Source organism: Homo sapiens, chromosome 7 (assembly GCF_000001405.40).
Source record: "Homo sapiens chromosome 7, GRCh38.p14 Primary Assembly".
Classification (NCBI taxonomy): domain Eukaryota; kingdom Metazoa; phylum Chordata; class Mammalia; order Primates; family Hominidae; genus Homo; species Homo sapiens.
This window is the reverse complement of record NC_000007.14, coordinates 33110680-33132852: the sequence shown is the minus strand read 5'-3', so window position 1 is coordinate 33132852 and position 22173 is coordinate 33110680. Positions and strand designations below refer to the sequence as shown.

Below are 22173 nucleotides of genomic sequence, written 5' to 3'. Positions count from 1 at the left end.
TCCCAAGTCATCAAGAAAATGAAAAATTAGCCATAAATTGAGACACAAATAAAATGCTAATCTGTATTCCAATCTAGGAAAGATATAGGCCTTGACATTGAGATATTAAGATAAGCAGGTAGGTGTGGGAGGTCTGGTACTGACAGGTTAGGAAAGATGGTAAGGAACAATAGTAATAAAACATTTTTTGGTCATGAAACCTGGCTTTTGGGTTACAAAATAAACAAAAAGTGTTTTAAATAACAAAAAATAAAATATGTATACAATGTTTTTTTAATTCAGTTTAGTTAACTGTCTTGAATAAGGAACCGAGGTTTGCATTTTATCCCCTTTTCATTCAGTGTTGATTTCCAGTTGCTCACTGATTTGTCTTTAAGTAATTGGAAAATAAAAACCAGGTTTTTAATGACTTCGCCTTAAAGGAAAGTATCTACTAATCATTTACTAAAGCCAGTCAGGATTCTAAATGCTTTGCAAGCATTCTATTTTGATATTCATAACAAAACTACAAAGTAAATTGTAGATACTATTATTCAGGTATCCTTGAATACAGAGAAGTTAAGAAATCCGTGCCAGTGGTCTCACTAGTTAAGTGATGTGCGGTACCTAAACCCAGACTGTCTACTCCAGAACCCTAAACAAACGGCCTATGCACACGCCCCTCCATGTAGACTATAAAAGCAATAGCTCTATTCACACTAATTCTAAACACTACAAGTTCAAACTACAGGCAAGTATGTCATAAATTTGATTAAATTGTTAAAGGATGATTAGAAGACAATAATTTGAAGGTTGTAACAGGTGCAGTCCTATAAACAGGCATAACAGATTAGTTTCTAATGCCTTATTAGAATAATAAATGGGAGATAATCTCCTTATCCCCTAAACTCCAGAAATTCTCTTCTATACTCTTCACTTGACACTTTTTTGTTTTGAATACTTTTTTTTCTACAACAAGTTTACTCAGATTTAGGTTTCATTTAAGAGGTGGCTGACCTTTTTTTGCTGACCTTCTGAATTTAATTTGCTATTGTTCTTTTTTTAATATTTTAAAAAGTTTTAATAATTTTTATTTTTTCTGCCATGCTCGGCAAAGACGAGGTCTCACTATGTTGCCCAGGCTGGTCTTGAACACCTCATTGACCTAGTCCTACAATATGATCAGCTGTGAAAACAATAACCCCAAAGAATGCTGTGGAAAAAACATACAGGTTTGAAGGTCAGTTCTGGAAACAGACCTTGCAGCTGTTGTTCATTTTCAGAGCTTTGCTTTCTCCAGGTTATGCCAGTGTCACACCAAATTTAAGAAAGTAGAAATCAGGTCTTCCAGTCAAAGAAAGATGACAAATGCATGTAGTGTTCAAAAGAAGTATACTGCTTTTGAAGGCAATAATACAAGGGCTCACTGTTGGAATTTTCAACAAAAGACTCAAAGGGCAAAATAACACAAAATTTGGAGTAGGACAGCTCTGGGTGCACTTTCTGACCACGTTACACTACATGATCTTAAACAAGTCCCTTATCCTCTAGTATCTCAATTGTTCTAGGGTGGAGGAGGATAAAATGGCTCAACCCATAGCAAGTACTCAATAGATGTCAGTAATAACCCAACAGTAGAAACAGTGCTAGTAGGAGAGACAGTGGTAGTAGTGGTAGTTGAAAGAGACGGTGGTAGTGTGTTCTGTGCAAGACACAATTACGAATGCCAAACTCACCCTCTGGACCGAAATTTTAAATGGGACTCACAAAGACTGATAGTAATCACTAATGGAAATGTTATTAACCAGCAGGGATGTTTTATAATAATTTCATGTATTTTAATAATTTTCAAAAATATTTCAAAGTATTCTAAAGCGTAAGACTTACTACATCCCTCAAAAGGTGTAAAAGTTTTAAAATTACTATATATACTATTGCTGTTGGATTTTTTCCCTTCAGTGAGCATTTCTATCAAGAAGTTGTACCATAAATATAAGTGTATAGTTGTAATTTAACCACGACAATTACACACAAGGAAAAATCCCTTAAACTCTGACAAATAACTTGTAACTTATTTTCAAAATAAAGTTTTTTAAAATTCTTCTTTAAAAACTTCTGGGTTTTCTAGTTTTTTTTTTAATTCTTCCGTATATTCATGAAAAAAATCTCAGTAATTGTTTTCTTTATAAAATGCTAATAAGTTAGAAAATCTTTCTCTGAATGCTGGCCAACTTAAGACCCATAGCTTATCCTGCAGCATCTTTCAAGTTGTTTATCAATGAGGACATGTAAGATGTGTATACCTGTAAGATACGGTTTCATTTTTAAAGTAAAAGTGAGATACCCAAAAAAATACATTTCTCCAGGAAATTGAAGTCAAAGGCAGGATTTGACTGGCAGGAGGTGCTGATAAAATCAGCGCAGCTCATCTAAACTGTTGTGGTCTCCAAGTAACAAGAGGAGAAACAATAATCCTATTACTAGAAGGATTGGGGGTATTAGTACATGCATCCTACTTCAGTCGTAGGCTGGGAACTGCTTTGCCCATTTACTCACAGACCTGTTGAAGTGTCTCAGGAGGATGCTCATGCTCCAAGTGACATTCCTCAATGGAATCCTTAAAAATTCTCATCCCTTTTTTCTCAAAAGTACTCACAGAATCTCATACACTTTGTGCTCCTAGTGTTTGTTTATTTCAGTGCAAACATCTAAGAAATCAATCACCTTACAGACTCCAAACCATTATACTGCATTAGAGAATCTTGTTCACAAAATAAAACATGGAAAGGGTATTCATGTACCCGAAGTTTAACAACAGACATACCATCTTACCTGATGCCACGTCAGATGAGCTCTGCCCCACCTTTCTGCGAACCCTCGTTCGGCAAATTTTGCTTTATGAACGCCTGACAAGGTCCCAGTGATGGAGCAGAGGGAGCAAGAACGGACGGTGCAGAGAAAAGCAACCTTTAGCTTCACTATTCCCTCTCGTCCTCCAGCTGAAAGTTGTTCCACGTCCCGGGCAAAGAGAGAGCCCCACCAGGCAGCACCACCAGCTCCACAGAGTTGGAGTGATTCCCCCAAGAAGCTCCCCTGCGCCCCCCGTCACCCCCAGAGACCAGCAGAGGAAACGGCATCTATCCCTTGGAAGACACTAGGCAGGCGAGAACAAATGCAAGTCCTGCTGCTCACACCGAGGAGGAAAGGATGGAGGAGGCGGTGAATGGGATGTAGCAGAAACCCGACGGCCGCAGCGGAAGGGACACCTCCCCTCTCCAGCCTAACTCTGAGCCATCTTCGCCCTGTTGTCATAGCACTTACAACGGACGCCACTGCGCAGGTCACGCCGTGCCGCGCCGACTTCTGGGGGCTGGAGTCCAGAGAGGCTGAGGCGCAAAGGCGGGGACCGACTTCTGAGAGGGCCGCGGTTGGAATTAGATTGCTACTGGGGCGGGGCTCGAGTGAACCACGGCCTGGTCCTCATTAGCAGAGAGTGATAATTACTGCAATCCTCTGCCCTGTCCTGGCAGCAGTTCCTTAAGGAAGACCCTCCTCCTGCCTGGGCTCCGGGGGCAGGCCACGCCCCCCCGGCCGCGTGACCGCCCTCTCCCCTCGGTGCGTGTGGGTGGGGCCTAGTGGGGGCGGGGCGTCACTGGCTTGTCCATGGTGCTCTGGGATCCTGCGCTTCTGAGAGTCCCAATCGCGGTGTTTTTTTCCTGCCGGGACACTCATGAGGGCCCCGTCCATGCACCGCGCGACCGTGGCGAGGGTGGTCGCGGTAGCGAGCGCCAGCGTGTGCGCCCTGGTGGCGGGGGTGGTGCTGGCCCAGTACATATTCACCTTGGAGAAGAAGGCGAGGCGGAAGACCAAGATCATCGAGATGATGAAGCTTTTGAACAGTTTCCAGTTTTTCCTTTTTTTACTATTTGAAACAGCGCTGCTTTGAAGTTACTTGTGCCTGCGTCCTGATACACATGTGTTAAATATATTTTCCGTATATACCTTAGAGTGCATTTCCTGGTATATGGGATTGGATCTATGTCTTCTTTTGTTTTTTACTTATTTTTTTTTAATCTTTACATTCAAATTCAATGTAGCCAACCTTGAAGTTTTTCTTGTTTGCTTTTTTCAATGGATTCTAGTGTAGGCTTTAAATTTCCAGTATTTCACCATCAATCCACAAATCCACATTCCCAGTAGAAAATACCATTCTAGTTTTAGTTTTTTGGGTTTTGGGTTTTTTTTTTTTTTTTAACTGAGACTGGGTCTCCCTGACAGGGTCGCCTAGACTGGAGTGCAGTGACAGGATCACTGCTCACTGAAGCACTGAAGCCTCAGCCTCCCGGGCTCAAACGATTCTCCCACCTTAGCCTTCCTAGTAAGCTGGGACTACAGGCACAGACCACCACACCTGGCTAATTTTTGTATTTTTTGTAGAGATGGAGTTTCGCCATGTCCAGGTTGCTCTCGAACTCCTGGGTTCAAACGATCCACCCACCTCAGTCCCCCAAAGTGCTGGGATTGCTGGCGTGAGCCACCGCGTCCGGCCTCAATATTTTTAAAAATGACCTTTCAGTCAAAGCCTTGGTAATATAACCAGTTTCCAATTGTATTCTGCTATACAGAGAGAGCAGATTTTTATTAGACTTATTGAAATGACCATATTACCATAAGAAGACTCACAAATGGTTTTCTAATTATGGAGGAATCAAGTAAAGAGAAAAAAAGTTTTTATCTTTTTTTACACAAGTATACTCTATCAAATTGCTGTAAATTATAAATAGCTTAAAAGACAAGATTTTCTTAAATCTGGAAAAAACTATTTGAGTAAAGAACCAACAACATTTGAAATAATATCATAAAAACATTGTCTTCATTAGTTAAACTCACGTAATTAATTCTTGTTCTGCCTGATCTTGATTAATAGTTTCATGAACCCACTTTTTTATTACAGTTCTGGAAATTGTTATATTGTCCATTGATCTTCAAGTTGTTAGAAACCCAAATCTAAGAGTATATTTTAGGGCCAGGCACAATGGTTCATGCCGGTAATCCCAGCAATTTGGGAGGCCAAGGCGGGAGGATCATTTGAGGCCAGGAGTTGGAGAAAAGCCTGGCCAATATAGTGAAACCCCATCTCTACTAAAAATACAAAAAATTAACCCAGCGTGGTAGCGCATGCCTGTAATCCCAGCTACTCAGGAGGCTGAGGCATGAGAATCACTGGAACCAGGGAGGCAGAGGTTGCAATGAACCAGGATCGTGCCACTGCACCCCAGCCTGGGCATCAGAGCAAGATTGTCTCAAAAATAAATAAATAAAAATAAAAGAGTACTTGTTAGAATATTTTCCAGGAGTCTGTTTTTTAAAAAAGAATTCAAAACAATAATATGGATGACAAAAACTTAAAATAGCCATGGTTAAAAATCTGATGAAGTTAACAACTGAGAAGAACATTTATTTATTGCTATTATATACAGTATTTTAAGATAACCAGAATTATGACTGGTAATATAATACATTTGTACGAATTTTTTTTAAAGATGGGGTCTTGCTCTATTGCCCAGGCTAGAGTGCAGTGGCACATTCATAGCTGACTGCAATCTCAAACTCCTGGACTCAAGCAATCCTTCTGCCTCAGCCTCTCAAGTAGCTGGGACTACACGTTTGTACCACCATGCTTGGTTTTTTTTTGGTTTTTTTTGTTTTTGTTTTGTTTTGTTTTGTTTTAATAGAGACAGGGTCTTGTTTTGTTGCCCAAGCTGGACACAAATTCCTGGCTATAAGTAATCCTCTGACCTCAGCCTCCCAAAGTGTTGGGATTATAGGCATGAGCCATCATTCCCAGCATACTTGTATGGACTTATATAATTTTTCAAACATTCATATAAACAATATTCCCATAAATGCAAATAAAAGAAAAATCTAGTATCAGTTATCGTTTGACAATATTTCTTATAAAATTTACCAAATAACCCAAATCATTTAATACCTCTAAAAGATGAGAAAGATATGTTTTAATGCTTTCCAGGAGTCCAACTGGAAAATTCCAAAGTTAATTCTACATTTAAAAAACTTAAATTGGAATTTGATTTTGAGGAAGTTTTTAAAGGGCTCAAAACACTGTATCAATACAGAATCACAAGTTACTTGTGAAATAAGTCATTTATATAACCAGAGTGATAATCAAAAGGCTTAAAAAGCCATACAAATAATTACATTAAAACTATCTTAACCATTTTAAACTTCAGGTTAAAAAAAAATCAAATCTAATAAAAGCAACACAGGAAATTATGTTGATAAAATGTATAATCTTCCTTAGGCCAGGTACCAAAAAAGTAAAGAAAAACTTTCTGCAATGTGATTGTTTCTCCTTTTGGGGAGCTCATTTAGATAACCTGGAGGTCGAATCTGATGAAAAGGGTACTTGAATTTAATCAGATACAGGAAGATGTGTCCCAGGTCATGATTATAACAATTCACATGTATCAAGAAAAGCCAAGAGTACAGAATCAAGTTATATTGAAAAAGAGCATTGATTTCTAGGCCTTCAGGATAAACCTTTAGTGTCAGGCCATACCAGCAATTAGAACCAAAAAAAAAAAATTGTATAGCAACTGATGAAAAAATTGAAGGAGAGAGTTACCATCCCAGGCTTTCTAAAGAGGAGAAAACCTGAATGCAATGATATATGACCTGGAAATCAAATAGCAAGACATGGCAAATTTGAACCACTGAGATACGAAATCTGAGAAATTTCAAAAGCAAAACTCTACCTCAAGAAATGATATTACCAGACGGGTGCAATGTCCATAATCCAAGCACTTTGGGAGGCCGAGGTGGGCAGATCGTTTGAGCCCAGGAGTTCGAGACCAGCCTGGGCAACATGACAAAATCCTGTCTCTACAAAAAATACAAAAATTAGCCGGGCGTGGTTACGTGTGCCTTTAATCTCAGCTACTAAGGGGGCTGAAGTTGGAGGACTGCTTGAGCCCAGTAGGTCAAGACTGCAGTGAGCCATGATCGTGCAACTACACTCCAGCCTGCATGACAGAGTGAAACCCTATCTCAAAAAAAAAAGCAAAGAAATTATTATTTTAAATGAAGAAGACAGCATTTTTAATGTGAAACTAGGGAAATTAAATGAATCTCAGTGAAAAAAGGTGGCAGAAATAGAAACTGCCTGCAGTTTAGGGGATAGCAGTTAAAGAAATAGATTTTAGAATTCAAAATGAAAGCTTCTTACAATTTTATCAGGAGCAGATCAATACTTCAAGAAAATGTTGTTTTAAAAATGGAGGACCAGGCTCTGGTCCTGTATCAGTGCACCTCCAACATTAATGTTTAAATTTTAGAAAACCACTTATAAACTATTTATTTTTAATTCTGGCCAACCTGATCATTCATAAAAGTTTTCTCACAGGCCTATTATTCATAAATGCTCTTTGACTTGCTTAGACATTTTCTCATTTTTTTAACCCCCAAGTCTTTGTCCTACCATTTTTCATTTTTTAAAAAAGCCAATTATTTTATAGGACTAAAATTTACTATTCAAGATTATTTATCATACAAAAGTATTTTTTCCTAAATTCATTTTTGATTAATAGATATAAATATATTTATAATTTTATAAACTTTAAAAAGCCAAAAATGAACTTATATTTATTCAGTGGTTTGTTTCCATTTTTATCTTATTTGGATGTGATCCAGACATCGTATCTACTATTTAACATAATATAACTTCAGGATTTTAAATTACATAAAAATTTTATTTATAAATATTTATTCTATTTACAATTAACTAATTTATTTTTTATCAATTACATCTAGATTACTTCTTAAAACTGAAATATAAGACAAAGCTAGTCATTGTTGTGTTTATTAACAAGTTTCATATCTGTTAATATCAAGTATTTATCTAAGTAAAAACTTTAAAGTTAAATACATGGGTATCCTGTTGATAACTCAGAAGATATAGCTGTTTTAAGTATATCAACAACATTAAATTAATCTTATATATTAAGGAATTTCACAACAAGGTCATTCTGTTTTAGACTGGGTTTATAGCATCATGACCTTAAAACGTCTAGCAAAAACAAATATAAAATGATCTGACCAGGCCGGGCACGGTGGCTCACGCCTGTAATCCCAGCATTTTGGGAGGCCGAGGCGGGCGGATCACAAGGTCAGGAGATCGAGACCATCCTGGCTAACACGGTGAAACCGCCTCTCTACTAAAAACACAAAAAATTAGCCGGGCTAGGTGGCGGGCGCCTGTAGTCCCAGCTACAAGGGAGGCTGAGGCAGGAGAATGGCGTGAACCCTGGGGGGCAGAGCCTGCAGTCAGCCGAGATTGCGCCACTGCACTCCAGCCTGGGTGAAAGAGCGAGACTCCTTCTCAAAAAAAAGATCTGACCAGTAAACCTAGGCAAAAATGTATGTTGACAATTTTAAAACAAATTAATTAATGAAATATTTAGTTAAGTCACATAAACTAAAAAGGGAGGGTTATTTGCTATATATTTTATATGAGCCCTCATTTTTCTCACTTAATAAAATGTTCATGGATTTTTGGCTATGACAGACTTTATTATGTAAACACACCACATAACACATGTAGACATGCATAAACACATTTAAACATGTTTCCATAAGTAGAAATAAAGTTCTTATAGCTTTTATTTTAGATTTTTAATCATGACATAGTAAATTATATAAACTCAGATGAGAGGTGGAGCAAGATGGCAAAATAGAAGCCTGCACCAAGCATCCCCCAACAAGGACAGCAATTTAAAACTCCCTACACAGAAAAAAGCACCTTCACGAGAAGCAAAATCAGGTGAACAGTCACAGTACCTGGTTTTGTTTTTGTTTTGTTTTGTTTTTGAGACAGAGTCTCACTCTGTCACCCAGGCTGGAGTGCAGTGGCACAAGCTAGGCTCACTGCTACATTCATCTCCCAGGTTGAAGCGACTCTCCTGCCTCAGTCTCCTGAGTAGCTGGAATTACAGGCACATGCCACCACGCCCCACTAATTTTTTGTATTTTTGGTAGAGACGAGGTTTCACCATGTTGGCCAGGCTGGTCTCAAACTCCTGAACTCAAGTGATCCTCCCACCTTGGCCTCCCAAAGTGCTGAGATTACAGGCGTGAGCACCACACCCAGCCAGTACCTGGTTTTAACTTAATATTGCTGAAAGAGGCACAGAAGAAGTAGAAAAAAGTCTTGAATTGCCAACACCACTCCTCCCACACTCCCCAGCAATGGTTGCATGGTGTAAAGAGCATTTCTGTGCACTGGGGAAGGGGGAATGCAGCAAATTTAAGGCGCTGAACTCAGTGCTGCCCTGTTATAGCAGAAAGGAAAACTGGACAAAACTCAGCTGACACCTGCCCGTGGAGAAAATACTTAAAGCAGCCCTAGCCAACAGGAAATCACCAATCCCAGCAGTCAGAAGTTGAGTTCCCTCAAGTATCATGACAATGATCTAAAGTACTTTGGGGCTGTAAGTAAACTTGAAAGGCAGTCTAGGCCACAAGGACCACAACTCCTAGGTGAGTCCTAGGGCTGAAATGGGCCCAGAGCCAGTGGACTCAGGGGGCACATGGCCTACTGAGACACCAGCCAGGGCAGTTGTGGGAGTGCTGGCATCAACTCTCACCTAGTCCAGGCTGCACAGCTTGTGGCTTCAAAAGAGACTCCTTCCTTCCACTTTAGGAGAGGAGAGGGAAGGATGGGGAGGACTTTGTCTTGCACCCTGTATACTAGCTCAGTCACAGCAGGATAAGGCACTGGTCAGAGTCATGAGGCCACCCCCCATTTCAGGCCCTAGTTCCCAGATGGTGTTTCTACACACAACGTGGGCCAGTAGGGAACCTGCTGCCTTGAAGGGAAGGACCTAGTTCTGGCAGGATTCATCACCTGCTAACTGAAGAGCCCTTGGGCACTAAACAACCAGCAGTAATACACATGTACTACATTGAGGGCCTTCGGTGATACTCTGAGACTTATATGGCTTCATTATTGGCTGAGGTGAGACTCAGCACATTGCAGATGTGGTTACTATGGAGCAAGAGTCTTCATGCTTGAGAAAAGCAGAGGGAAGAGTAAAGGGACTCTGTCTTGCACCTTAGGTACCAGCTCAGCCAGAGGTGAGTAGAACCCAAAGCGGGCTCATGGGGTCCCCAATTCCAAGACTTGGCTCTTGGATGGTATTTCTGCACCTGCCCTGGGTCAAAGGAGAACCCACTGCCCTGAAGGGTGAGACCCAGGCCAGGCAAATTCACCACAAGCTGACTTAAGAGCCCTTGGGCCTTAAGGGAACATCAGCGGTAGTCTGGCAATACTCTCCACGGGCCTGTGGTGGTGGTGGCCACAGGGTGAGGCTCATCTGCCTTTGGAAAGAGGAGGAAAGAGTGGGAAGGACTGCATCTTGTGGTTTGATGCAGCTCAGCCACAGTACAATAGAACACCAAGTAGACTCTGAGATTTTTGACTGTAGTCCCTATCTCCCTGACAGCACCCTCACAAGAATCTGGGAGAACTCATTGCTCTGAAGGGAAGGACATAAGCCTGGCTGGCTTTGCTACATGCTGACTGTAGAGCTCTAGGGTCTTGCGTGAACATAGGTAAGTAGACAGGCAGTGGTTATAGCAGGCCTTGGGTGAGACCCAGTGCTGTCCTGACTTCAGGTCTGACCCAGTGCAGTCACAGTGGTGGTGGCCACAAGAGTGTTTGTGTCACTCTACCTCCAGCTTCAGGTGGCTCAGTTAACAGAGAGAGAGACTTCATTTGTTTGGGAAAAAGTAAGGGAAGAGAATAAGAGTCTCTGCCTGGTAATCCAGAGAAATCTCCTGGATCTTGCCCAAGTCCATCAAGGCAGTACCTCTACAAGTCTTCAAGAACCACAGGATTACTGTGCATGAGTTGCCGCCTAAAGCAAATAAAGCTTAAGATCACAACACACCCAAGTCCTTTCAAATATCTGGAAAGCCTTCCCAAAAAAGATGGGTACAAACAAGTCCAGACTATAAAGACTATAAGAAATACCTAATTCTTCAATGCCCAGATACTAAAGAACATCTACAAGCATCAACACCATCCAGGAAAATATGAACTCACCAAAAGAACTAAATAAGGCACCAGGGACCTATCCTGGAGAAAAATGGATATGTGAACTTTTGGACAGAGAATTCAAAATGGCTGTGTTGAGGAAACTCAAAAAAATTCAAGAAAACAGAGAAGGAATTCAGAATCCTATCAGATAAATGTTACAAAGAGATTGAAATAATTAAAAAAGATTAAGCATAAATTCTGGAGCTGAAAAAATGCAATTGGCATACAAAAGAATTTATGTCTTTTTATAGCAGAATTGATCAAGCAGAAGAAAGAATTAGTGAGCTTGAAGACAGGCTATTTGAAAATACAGTCAGTGAGAGAAAAGAAAAAAAAAGGACGCCTACAGAATCCAGAAAATGGCCTCAAAAGAGCAAATTTAAGAGTTATTGGCCTTAAAGAAGAGGTAGACAGAGGGACAGGGGTAGAGAGCTTATTAAAGGGATAATAACAAAGAACTTCCCAAACCTAGAGAAAGATAACAATATCAAGTACAAGAAGATTATAGAACACCAAGTAGATTTAACCCAAAGAAGACTACTTCAAGGCATTTAATATTCGAACTCCCAAAGATCAAAGATACCTACTAAAAGTAATACAAGAAAGAGAGAAAGATGGAAGAAAAGATCATAAAACAACCAGAAAACAAATGACAAAATGGCAGCAGTAACTTATCACTTATCAATCATAACATTGTACAAATATTGGGAAAGAAGTAGAAAAAAGTAACATTGAATGTAAATGTACTAAACTCTCCAATCAAAAGATATAGAGTGGCTGAATGGATTAAAAAATCAAGATACATTGATCTGTTGCCTACAGGAAATAGTCTTCACCTGTAAAGACACACGAAGACTGAAAATTAAGATAGGGAAAAAGATATTCCACGCCAATGGAAACCAAAAAAAAACAAGAGTAGCTATACTATTTTGTCTATTACATTAGACAAAATAGATTTATATATCAGACAAAATAGATTTCAAAACAAAAACTATTAAAAAAGAAAAAGAAGTTCATCATATAATGATACAGGGGTAAATTTGACAAGAGGATATAATAATTTGTAAATATATATATGCCCCACACTGGAGCACCCAGATATATAAAGCAAATATTAGAGCTAAAAAGAGAGGTAGATTCCCCAAAAATAACAGCTGGAGACATCAACACCCCACTTTTAGCATTAGACAGATCATCCAGACAGAAAGCCAACAAAGAAACATTGTACTTAATCTGCACTACAGACAAATGAACCTAACAGATACCTACAGAACATTTCATCCAATAGCTCCAGAATACACATTCTCCTCCTCAACATAAGGATTATTTTCAAGCATAGACCACATGTTAAACCACAAAACAAGTCTTAAAACATTTCAAAAAATTGAAAATGTATCAAATATCTTCTCTCAACACAATGGAATAAAACTAGAAATCAGTAATGAGGAGGCTGGGTGTGGTGGCTCACACCTGTAATCCCAGCACTTTGGGAGGCCAAGGCGGGCGGATCACAAAGTCAGAAGATCAAGACCGTCCTGGTTAACACAGTGAAACCCTGTCTCTACTAAAAATACAAAAAATTAGCCGGGTGTGGTGGCAGGCACCTGTAGTCCCAGCTACTTGGGAGGCTGAGGCAGGAGAAAGGCATGAATCCAGGAGGCGGAGCTTGCAGTGAGCAGAGATCACTCCACTGCACTCCATCCAGCCTGGGTGACAGAGCGAGACTCCATCTCAAAAAAATAATAATAATAACAATAATAATAATAATAATGAGGAATTTTGGAAACTAGATGAATACATGAAAATTAACCAATATGCTCCTGAATGACCAGTGGGTCAATGAAGAAATTAAGAAGGAAACTGAAAAATTTTTTGAAACAAATGAAAATGGGAACACAGCATACCAAAACCTATAGGATACAGCAAAAGCAGTACTAAGAGGGAAGTTTACAATAAAAAGTGCCTACATCAAAAAAGTAGAAAAACTTCAAATAAAAAACCTAATGATGCATCTTAAAGAACTAGAAAAACAGGAGCAAACCACCCCCAAAATTAGTAGAAGAAAAGAAATAATAAAGATTAGAGGAGAAATAAATGATTTTGAAATGAAGAAAACAATGCAATCAATGAAATGAAAAGTTGGTTTTTCAAAAAGATAAATGAAATTGAAAATCCTTTAGCCAGATTAAGAAAAAAAGAGAGCCATCCTCGCTAACATGGTGAAACCCCGTCTCTACTAAAAATACGAAAAAAAAAATTAGCCGGGCATGGTGGCAGGCACCTGTAGTCCCAGCTACTCAGGAGGCTGGGGCAGGAGAATGGCGTGAACCTGGGAGGCAGAGGTAGCAGTGAGCCAAGATAACACTACTGCACTTCAACCTGGGAGACAGAGCGAGACACTGTCTCAAAAAAAAAAAAAAAGAAAAAGAAAAAGAAAAAAGAGATTAGACCCAAATAAATAAAATCAGAGAGGATAAACAAGACATTACAACTGATGCTGCAGAAATTCAAAAGATCATTAGTGGGGCTTCTTTCTTCTCCCTTCTTTCTTGCCTATTAAACTCTCCACTCCTTAAAAGCAAAAAAAAAGATCATTAGTGGCTACTGTGAGCAACTATATATGCCAATAAGTAGGAAAACCTAGAAGAAATGTACAAATTGCTAGACACATACAATCTATCAAGATTGAACCATGAAGAACTCCAAAACCTAAACAGACCAATAACAAGTAACGAGATTTAAGCCATAATAAAAAAGTCTCCCAGTAAGGAAAAGCCCAAGACCCAGTGGCTTCACTGCTGAATTCTACCAAACATTTAAGGAAGAAATAATAACAATCCTACTCAAGGTATTCTGAAAAATAGAGGAGGAGGAAATACTTCCAAACTCATTCTATGAGGCCAGTACCCTGATATGATAACCAGACAAAAACACATCAAAAAAAGAAAACTACAGGCCAATATATCTGATGAATATTGATGTAAAAATCCTCATCAAAATACTAGCAAATCAAATTCAAGAATATATTAAAAGATATTCATCACGACCAAATGGGATTCATCCCTAGCATGCAAGGATGGTTCAACATATGCAAGTAAAACAATGTGATACATCATATCAACAGAATGAAGGACAAGAACCATATGATCATTTCAATTGATGCTGAAAAAGCATTTGATAAAATTCAACATCCATTCATGATAAAAACCCTCAAAAAACTAGGCAAGGAAGAAACATACCTAAACATAATTAAAGCCGTATACGGCAGACCCATAGCTAGTATCATACTGAATGGGGAAAAATGGAAAGCCTTTCCTCTATTATCTGGAAAACAGCAAGGATGCCCACTATTATTCAACATAGTATTGAAAGTCCTAGATAAAGCAACCAGACAAGAGAAAGAAATAAAAGGCATCCAAATTAGAAAGAAAGAAGTCAAATTACTCTTGTTTGCAAATGATATGACCTTATATTTGGAAAAACCTAAACACTCCACCAAAAACTATTAGAACTGATATATTCAGTAAAGTTGTAAGATACAAAATCGACATACAAAAATCAGTAGGATTTCTATATGCCAACAGTGAACACTGAAAAATAAATTCAAAAAGGAATTCCATTTATAATAGCACACATAAAATTAAATACTTAGGAATTAACTTACCCAAAGTGAAAGATCTCTGCAATGAAAACTATGGGCCAGGCGTGGTGGCTTATGCCTGTAATCCCATCACTTTGGGAGGCCAAGGGAAGTGGATCACCTGAGGTCAGGAGTTTGAGATCAGCCTGGCCAACATGGTGAAACCCCATCTCTACTAAAAATACAAAAATTAACCAGGCATGGTGGTGTATGCCTACAGTTCCAGCTACTTAAGAGGCTGAGGCAGGAGAATCACTTGAATCCAGGAGGTGGAGGTTGCAGTGAGCCGAGATTGTGACACTGGACTCCAGCCTGGGCGACAGAACAAGACTGTCTCAAAAAAAAAAAAAAAAAAAAAAAAAAAAGAAAGAAAGAAAGAAAAAGGAAAAAAAGAAAAGAAAAAGAAAACTATAAAACATTGAGGCAAGAAATTGAAGAGGACAGAAAAAAAATGGAAAGATATTCCACATTCATGTATTGGAAGACTCAATATCGTTTAAACGTTCATATTACTCAAAGCATTCTACAGAATCAATGCAATCCCTATCAAAATACCAATGTAATTCTTTACAGAGATAGAAAAACAATCCTACAATTTACGTGGATCCACAAAAGACCACAATGGCCAAAGCTATCCAGAGCAAGAAGAACAAAACTGGAAAAATCACATTACCTGACTTCAAATTAAATTACAGAGCTATAGTAACCAAAACATCATGGTACTGGCCCAGAGACACACAGACAATGGAACAGAATAGAGAACCCAGAAATAAACTCATACACAGTGAACTCATTTTCGACAAAGGTGGCAAAAACATATACTGGGGAAAAGACCATCTCTTTAATGAATGGTGTTTGGTAAACTGAATATCCATATGCAGAAGAATGAAACTAGACTCCTGTCTCTTGCCATATACAAAAATCAAATTAAAATAGATTAAAGACTTAAATCTAAGACCTCAAACTATGAAACTACTACACAGAACATTGGGGAACATACCTAGGACATTGGGCAAAAATTTCTTGAGTTAACTCCCATAAGTACAGGCAACCAAAGCCAAAATGGAGAAACAGGAACACATTAAGTTAAAAAAAACTTCTGCACAGAGAAGGAAACAATTAACAAAGTGAAGAGACAACCCACAGAAAGGGAGAAAATATTTGCAAACTACCCTTTTGACAAGGGATTAATAAGCAGAATATATAAGGAGTTCAAACAACTCTATAGGAAAAAATCTAATAATCCAATTAAAAATGGGCAAAAGATTTGAATAGACATTTCTAAAAAGAAGACATGCAAATGGCAATCAGGCATATGATCATCAGAGAAATGCAAATCAAAACTACAATGAGATATCATCTCACCCCAGTTAAATGGCTTATGCTCAAAAGACAGGCAATAATAAATGTTGGCGAGGATGTGGGAAAAAAGGGAACCCTCATATACTGTTGGAAGGGATGTAAATTAATATAGCCACTATGGAAAACACTTTGGAGGTTCTTCAAGAAACTAAAAATAGAGTTACCATATGATCCAGCAATCCCACTGCTGGCTATATACCCAAAAGAGACGAAATCAGTATGTCGAAGAGATATCTGCACTTGCATGTTGGTTTGCAATAGCCAAGATTTGGAAGTAACCTAAGTGTCCATCAACAGATGAATGGATAAAGAAAATGTGGTACATATACACAATGGAGTACTATTCAACCATAAAGGAAGAATGAGATCCTGTCATTTGCAACAACATAGATGGAACTGGGGACCATTATGTTAAGTGAAATAAGCCAGGCACAGAAAGACAAACATCGCATGTTCTCACTTATTTGTAGGATCTAAAAATCAAAGCAATAGAACTCATGGATATAGAGAGGAGGGAAGGTTACCAGAGGCTGGGAAGCACAGTGAGGTGGTGGAGATAGTTAAAGGGTAAGAAAAATAAAAAACAAAAAAAAATAGAAAAAATGAATAAGACCTACCATTTGACGCCATAACATGGTGAGTATAGTCAATAACAACTTATTTGTGCACTTTAAAAGAGTTTGTAACACAAAAGATAAATGCTTATGGGTATGGATACCCCATTCTCCATGATTTAATTATTAAGTTTTGCATGCCTGTATCAAAACATGTACCCCATAAATATTAACACATATTATGTGCCCACAAAAATTAAAAATAAAAATTATATATATATATATATATATATGGACTCACAAGTTTATAAAAGACAGTTGGATCCAAATCATGTTTCTGAAAAAATCAGATAAGGCTAACCTTTAAGACTTTTTAAATAGGTAATAATATGAAGGTGGAGAACCAAATTTTGCGTAGAGCAGTTTAAGTCAATTACCAGATTGGACAAATAAAAATTAGCTGTGAAACTGTGACTGGATTATGTCAGAGGCCCAAAAGATAAGAGTTATTCTAACAAGGTCTGCACAGCATATTATTTGTCCTTGAAGATGAGAATGCTGCCATTCCTCAACCTTTTTGTAGTTCATGATGATTGCGTGCTCACACAGGTGTGTGAGATGTGCCACCCGTTGCCAGTCTGAGGTTTTAAAAAAAAAAATGTTGCCATTCCTTTTAGTATAGGGAAGACTTCCTTTATATGGGAATTCCATCTTTTGTTCTTAAGAAACAGCACAAGGGTCAAAATGATTTTCTTTTGAATCTGTTGGTTTTCTTGTGTTGTTACTTAAATAGTATGTCACAATAGCTGAGGAGTTTTGGAAGAAACAGTTTAGTTTAGAGAAGGATAGAAGCAATTGTAGAAAAAGATCCTGAAAAAAAAAGTCTCTGCCAGTTTTGTGCCAGTGTTTTATAAAAAGGCAATCTTTGAGTCATGAGAATTTTTTGAGCCTCAAGATATCAATTGAGATATAAGTATTATTTGAAGTGTATGATTTTATTGCTGGTGTCTTAGTTTAGTTTGAAGAATAATAGACTGTCTGAATGATCCCATAATGTTTCAACATGTTACCAGCTGGAGTCCCAGATAATATTTTGGCATGCTGTGAAACTCTGACTTCCCATTTCTAACTAAATTGATCTAGATGATTCATTTTATTGCCAAATGCACAAAAACAAATTAAAACACAAGGACTGAATACACCAAAGCCACACAGACAGAAAATAAAATACATACTTACCAAGAAGGACAATAAGCCGCCTTCTCCAAATAAGGGGAAATCCCTACACCTAAACCTCCCAGCTGAGACTGACAGGAAGATGATGACCCCTCCCAGCAGGAGAGCTCCCAAACAGAGGAGGAAAGATGCCTCTCGGAAAAAAAGCGGGGAAGGCTCTCTTCAACCAAATTCCAAATAAAACACCATTTGACCAAAGTCAGAAGTCTGGTCAAAGAGAGACTCACCAAAGGGAAAAGAGGCAGCTTAGGGAAGCAGGAGGCTCCAGGGGTTCGAGTGTAGGCACATCTCATCATAGTCCAGAGGCTGGGATTTTCCCCAAGGCAAGGCAGCTTTGGATCCATGCTTCTGACACCAAGTATGTTTAAGTCAAATATTATAGACAGATGAATCTCTAAGGTTAAAACGTTTTATTAGGGAAGCAATAATCACAATTCGGGGCATACACATAGACCAGGTGGTCTTTGGTATGTGAGATGAACAAAGAGAAGGTTGAAAGTTTTATCAGAAAGAGAAATGTTGACCAGGCATGGTGTCTCATGCATGTAATCCCAGAACTTTGGGAGGCTGAGGCGGGCAGATCACGAGGTCAGGAGATCCAGACCACCCTGGCTAATACGGTGAAACCCCGTCCCTACTAAAAACACAGAAAATGAGCCGGGCTTGGTAGCGGGTCGCCTGTAGTCCCAGCTACTCGGGAGGCTGAGGCAGGAGAATGGCGTGAACCTGGGAGGCAGAGCTTGCAGTGAGCCGAGATTGCGCCACTGCACTCCAGCCTGGGCAACAGAGCAAGACTCCATCTCAAAAAAATAAAAATAAATAAATAATTAAAAAATAAATAAATAAGAAAGAAAGACAAATGTTATGTAGTGTTTTGAAAGAAATCTCAGGCCGGGCGTGGTGGCTCACATCTGTAATCCCAGCACTTTGGGAGCCTGAGGCAGGCGGATCACGAGGTCAGGAGTTCAAGACCAGCCTGGCCAACATGGTAAAACCCCATCTCTACAAAAAACACAAAAATTAGCTGGGCATGGTGACACGCGCCTGTAGTCCCAGCTACTCGGGAGGCTGGGGCAAGAGAATCACTTTAACCCAAGAGGCAGAGGTTGCAGTGAGCCAAGATTGCGCCACTGCACTCCAGCCTGGTGACAGAGTGAGACTCTGTCAAAAAAAGGAAAGGAAGGAAAGAAAGGAGAGAGAAAGGGAGGGAGAGAGGGAGAGAAGGAGGGAGGCAGGAAGGAAGGAAGGAAGGAAGCTCATTGGCACTAAACAAGCTTTTGGGAGCCGGCAAGCTCTGATAGACGAGTGACTGCAGCAGTTAAAACCAGTCGCAGAGCCAGGGCAGGCCGTTTCAGCAGCTACCAGGTAAAACTGATCTTAGAGTTACAGCAGTCCATTTTAGCGGCTGGGCTTCTGGAAAATTTAATTCTTGGAGCAGGTCCTGTGACCACAAGTGCTTTTCCCCCCTGACCCCTTGATTCTCTTTTACTTGAGTATGACAAAAATTACCCAATTTGTATAACTAACTTTCACACAAACGTGAGACAGGGACTAGAAGGAATGAAAGGTTATCGGAATAAGAAAAAGAGGGGAAATGAGAGAGAAAGATGGCAGGGAGAGAAAAACAAGATAACAATCAGTGAGAGAATGCAGAGGCAGGGACCAGAAAATGTGGTAAAATCAGACAGAAGGACACAATGAGAGGAACAGCAAAATCTGAGGCCAAGGTGGGCATGGGAAGCAGCATGGAAGAGCGGGGAGAAAGGGATCTGAAAAAAGGACTGGTCTGAATCAAAGTCAGTAAACCAGGTTCTGTCAAATGCCCCTCAGACAGTACAGGAACCTCAAGTGTTAATGGTAAAATCCAACGTAATCCACTAAGGCCAGGCCCTAAAAAAAAGGTTTCCACCTTTCATTGAGTCTGAAATAAAGGCAGTTTTGTGAATCAGAAAACTACTGTGGTTTTGAGAACAGTAAACCCTGGAGGCTAAGCTATGCCAGTTGTTAACTTTTGCTTGGCACACACAGGATGGCTAAAGAAATGACCAGCCTTAGTCAGATCAGTTGAGGTCAGGAGTTCGAGACTAGCCTGGCCAACATGGTGAAACCCCGTCTCTGCTAAAAATACAAAAATTAGCCCAGCGTGGTGGCGCACGCCTGTGGTCCCAGCTACCTGAAAGGCTGAGACACGAGAGTCCCTTGAACCTGGGAGGCGGAGGTTGCAGTGAGCAGAGATCGTACCACTGCACTCCAGCCTGGCCAATAGAGTGAGACCCTGTCTCAAAAAAATGAAGGGAAGGGGAGGGGAGGGGAGGGAAAAGGCCAGCTGAGGAAAAATACCTCCTCACCCCCATCAACATAGCAGGGCCCCATCTGTATTGTTTTTAATTATTAAATAAATAAATTGAATGAAAAAACATCCCCAAAAGTCCATCTGAGCCGATTTGAGGCCAATGGGACATCAGGGAAATTTGTTTCCAGCAGCTTCCTATCCTCTTCTTTACCAAGAGATTCTCCAAGGGTTTCCAAGAGATTCTCCCACTCCCACTATTCCCACACACCTAAATTCATGAGGGTTGATGAAAAACTCTGGACTAGAAATCAGACCATTTTGGTTGCAGGGCCACACTCTCCTTCTGAGCCTCAATTTCCTTATCTTACATTGTCTTGCATGCCCCCATAGGGTTTCTGTAAAATCAACTGGGAGAACATATGGGGGCAGGGGGAGATCTGCATGGCACTATATAAATGTAAAGAATCATATTTATCTGTGAGTAATAGAAGACCCAACTCAAAATCACTTCAATAATAAAGAAATGTACTATCTCCCAGAATGAGAAGTATGGATAGGTAGCAACACCAGGACTGGTTGATCAAATGTCTCTATCACATCCCCAAGGACCCAGGGGTCTCCTTCTGTCCTCTGCCATCCTCTGGGGGTTGCAGGCAACAACATCTGGAGGCAGAAAGGGGATCTTTGACACTCCCAAGCATCATTTATTAAGAGCAAAGACAACCTTACCCTGAAAGCCACCTCCATCCGACCTCTCCTCATACCTCATTGGCTAAAATTGCACCACAGGTCCATTGCTAAAACAATCAGTGGAAACGAGAACAAAATTACTAATGACTGGCTTAAGACAAGTCAAGACTCACCTCTAGAGAGGCATGAAGAGGCCTCCACTCTCTAACCAGCTTCCTGTATGATTCCTGAACAAAATCAAAGCTGGTAGCAAGGAAGAGAAGGAGAAATGTCAACTCAGTTGCCAAATATTTGCCCCAGAATACCAATTAAGTTTGGTGTCTGACCTTCCTCCCTCAGTCTTTCGTACCTGCAAGCCTAAAGTAAAGCACGTTGCAATTTTCCCTCCGATCCTACTGGTTAGCAACTATTGATGGATAGAAATAATTTTTCTTTTTTTGAGACAGGGGCTCACTCTGTCACTCAGGCTGGAGTGCAGTGACACGATCATGGCTCACTGTAGCCTCCACCTCCTGGGTTCATGCAATCCTCCCACCTAAGCTCCACAAATACCTAGGACAACAGGCACAAGCCACCATGCCTGGCCCTAGAAGTAATTTTAACAGCTGTTTTTAGTGCATGACCAAAGGGATTCTCATGTTTCTACTGCGCTGCAGAAGACCATAGACATGCACGCCTGAGGGTCCACTTCACCATGAGAGTTCCTTGAAGACTTGTATTTTGGGTAGGAAAAAAAGAAAGATTTTGCATTGTACTCTCTAATCTAGCCATGTGATCTTTCCCTTCTCCTACTTTTTTCCTCTCCTCATCTCCCCAGTGGGGAAAGGTCACTGGTAAGATAAGAGCTTGTAAAAATACACCTTAGCAGCAAAACAATGGTGTCAAGATTACACTGTGAAGGGTGATCAATACAAGCAGGAGAAAATCTATTCTTTTTTTAGTTGCTCCATTCTGAAAGGTTTAAAACCTGTCCAGTAGCACAGACTAAGGACCAACTGCAGCTGCCCCACCAGTGGGCCAACACCAAGGCTGCTTGACTGGCCTCAAGAATGAATCTCTGGTGTCTTAGGAGGGGGCAGAAGAATAAAATGAAAAACAGAGGGGTTCATGGACAGGAGGGTACAACAGAAAGAAAGCACAAAGAGAAGTCAGAGAATATCAAATCACAAAATAATTTCATAGTCAGGTGCAGTGATTCCCACCTGTAATCCCAGTGTTTTGGGAGGCTATGGCAGGAGGATTGCTTGAGGCCAGGAGTTCAAGGCCAGCCTAAGCAGCATAGCGAGACCCCGTCTCTACAAAA

At 39.9% G+C, this 22173-nt stretch overlaps 1 protein-coding gene across 19 annotated transcripts in view, besides 3 other annotated features; it reads right to left on the bottom strand.

Annotated features, from left to right (window-relative positions):
* BBS9 (Bardet-Biedl syndrome 9) overlaps window positions 1-3568 on the bottom strand; it is a 506483-nt gene extending 502915 nt beyond the window's left edge. For 15 of the 19 annotated variants that reach the window (NR_145413.3, NM_001348041.4, NM_001348038.3 and 12 more), the window contains exon 1: window positions 2812-3289. The gene's annotated coding sequence lies outside the window, so the exon portion shown is untranslated. Of the gene's footprint in view, window positions 1-2811 lie in introns of all 19 variants that reach the window. The other 4 variants (NR_145412.1, NR_145411.1, NM_001348036.1 and 1 more) reach the window with 2 other exon arrangements.
* Window positions 3227-3336: an enhancer, noted in NCBI's record as "active region_25835". NCBI's record gives its function as "activates an Ori minimal core promoter by ATAC-STARR-seq in GM12878 lymphoblastoid cells {active_cell/tissue: GM12878}" and the evidence as "EXISTENCE:reporter gene assay evidence [ECO:0000049][PMID:35858748]".
* Window positions 3387-3686: a silencer, noted in NCBI's record as "silent region_18091". NCBI's record gives its function as "represses an Ori minimal core promoter by ATAC-STARR-seq in GM12878 lymphoblastoid cells {active_cell/tissue: GM12878}" and the evidence as "EXISTENCE:reporter gene assay evidence [ECO:0000049][PMID:35858748]".
* Window positions 3827-3876: an enhancer, noted in NCBI's record as "active region_25834". NCBI's record gives its function as "activates an Ori minimal core promoter by ATAC-STARR-seq in GM12878 lymphoblastoid cells {active_cell/tissue: GM12878}" and the evidence as "EXISTENCE:reporter gene assay evidence [ECO:0000049][PMID:35858748]".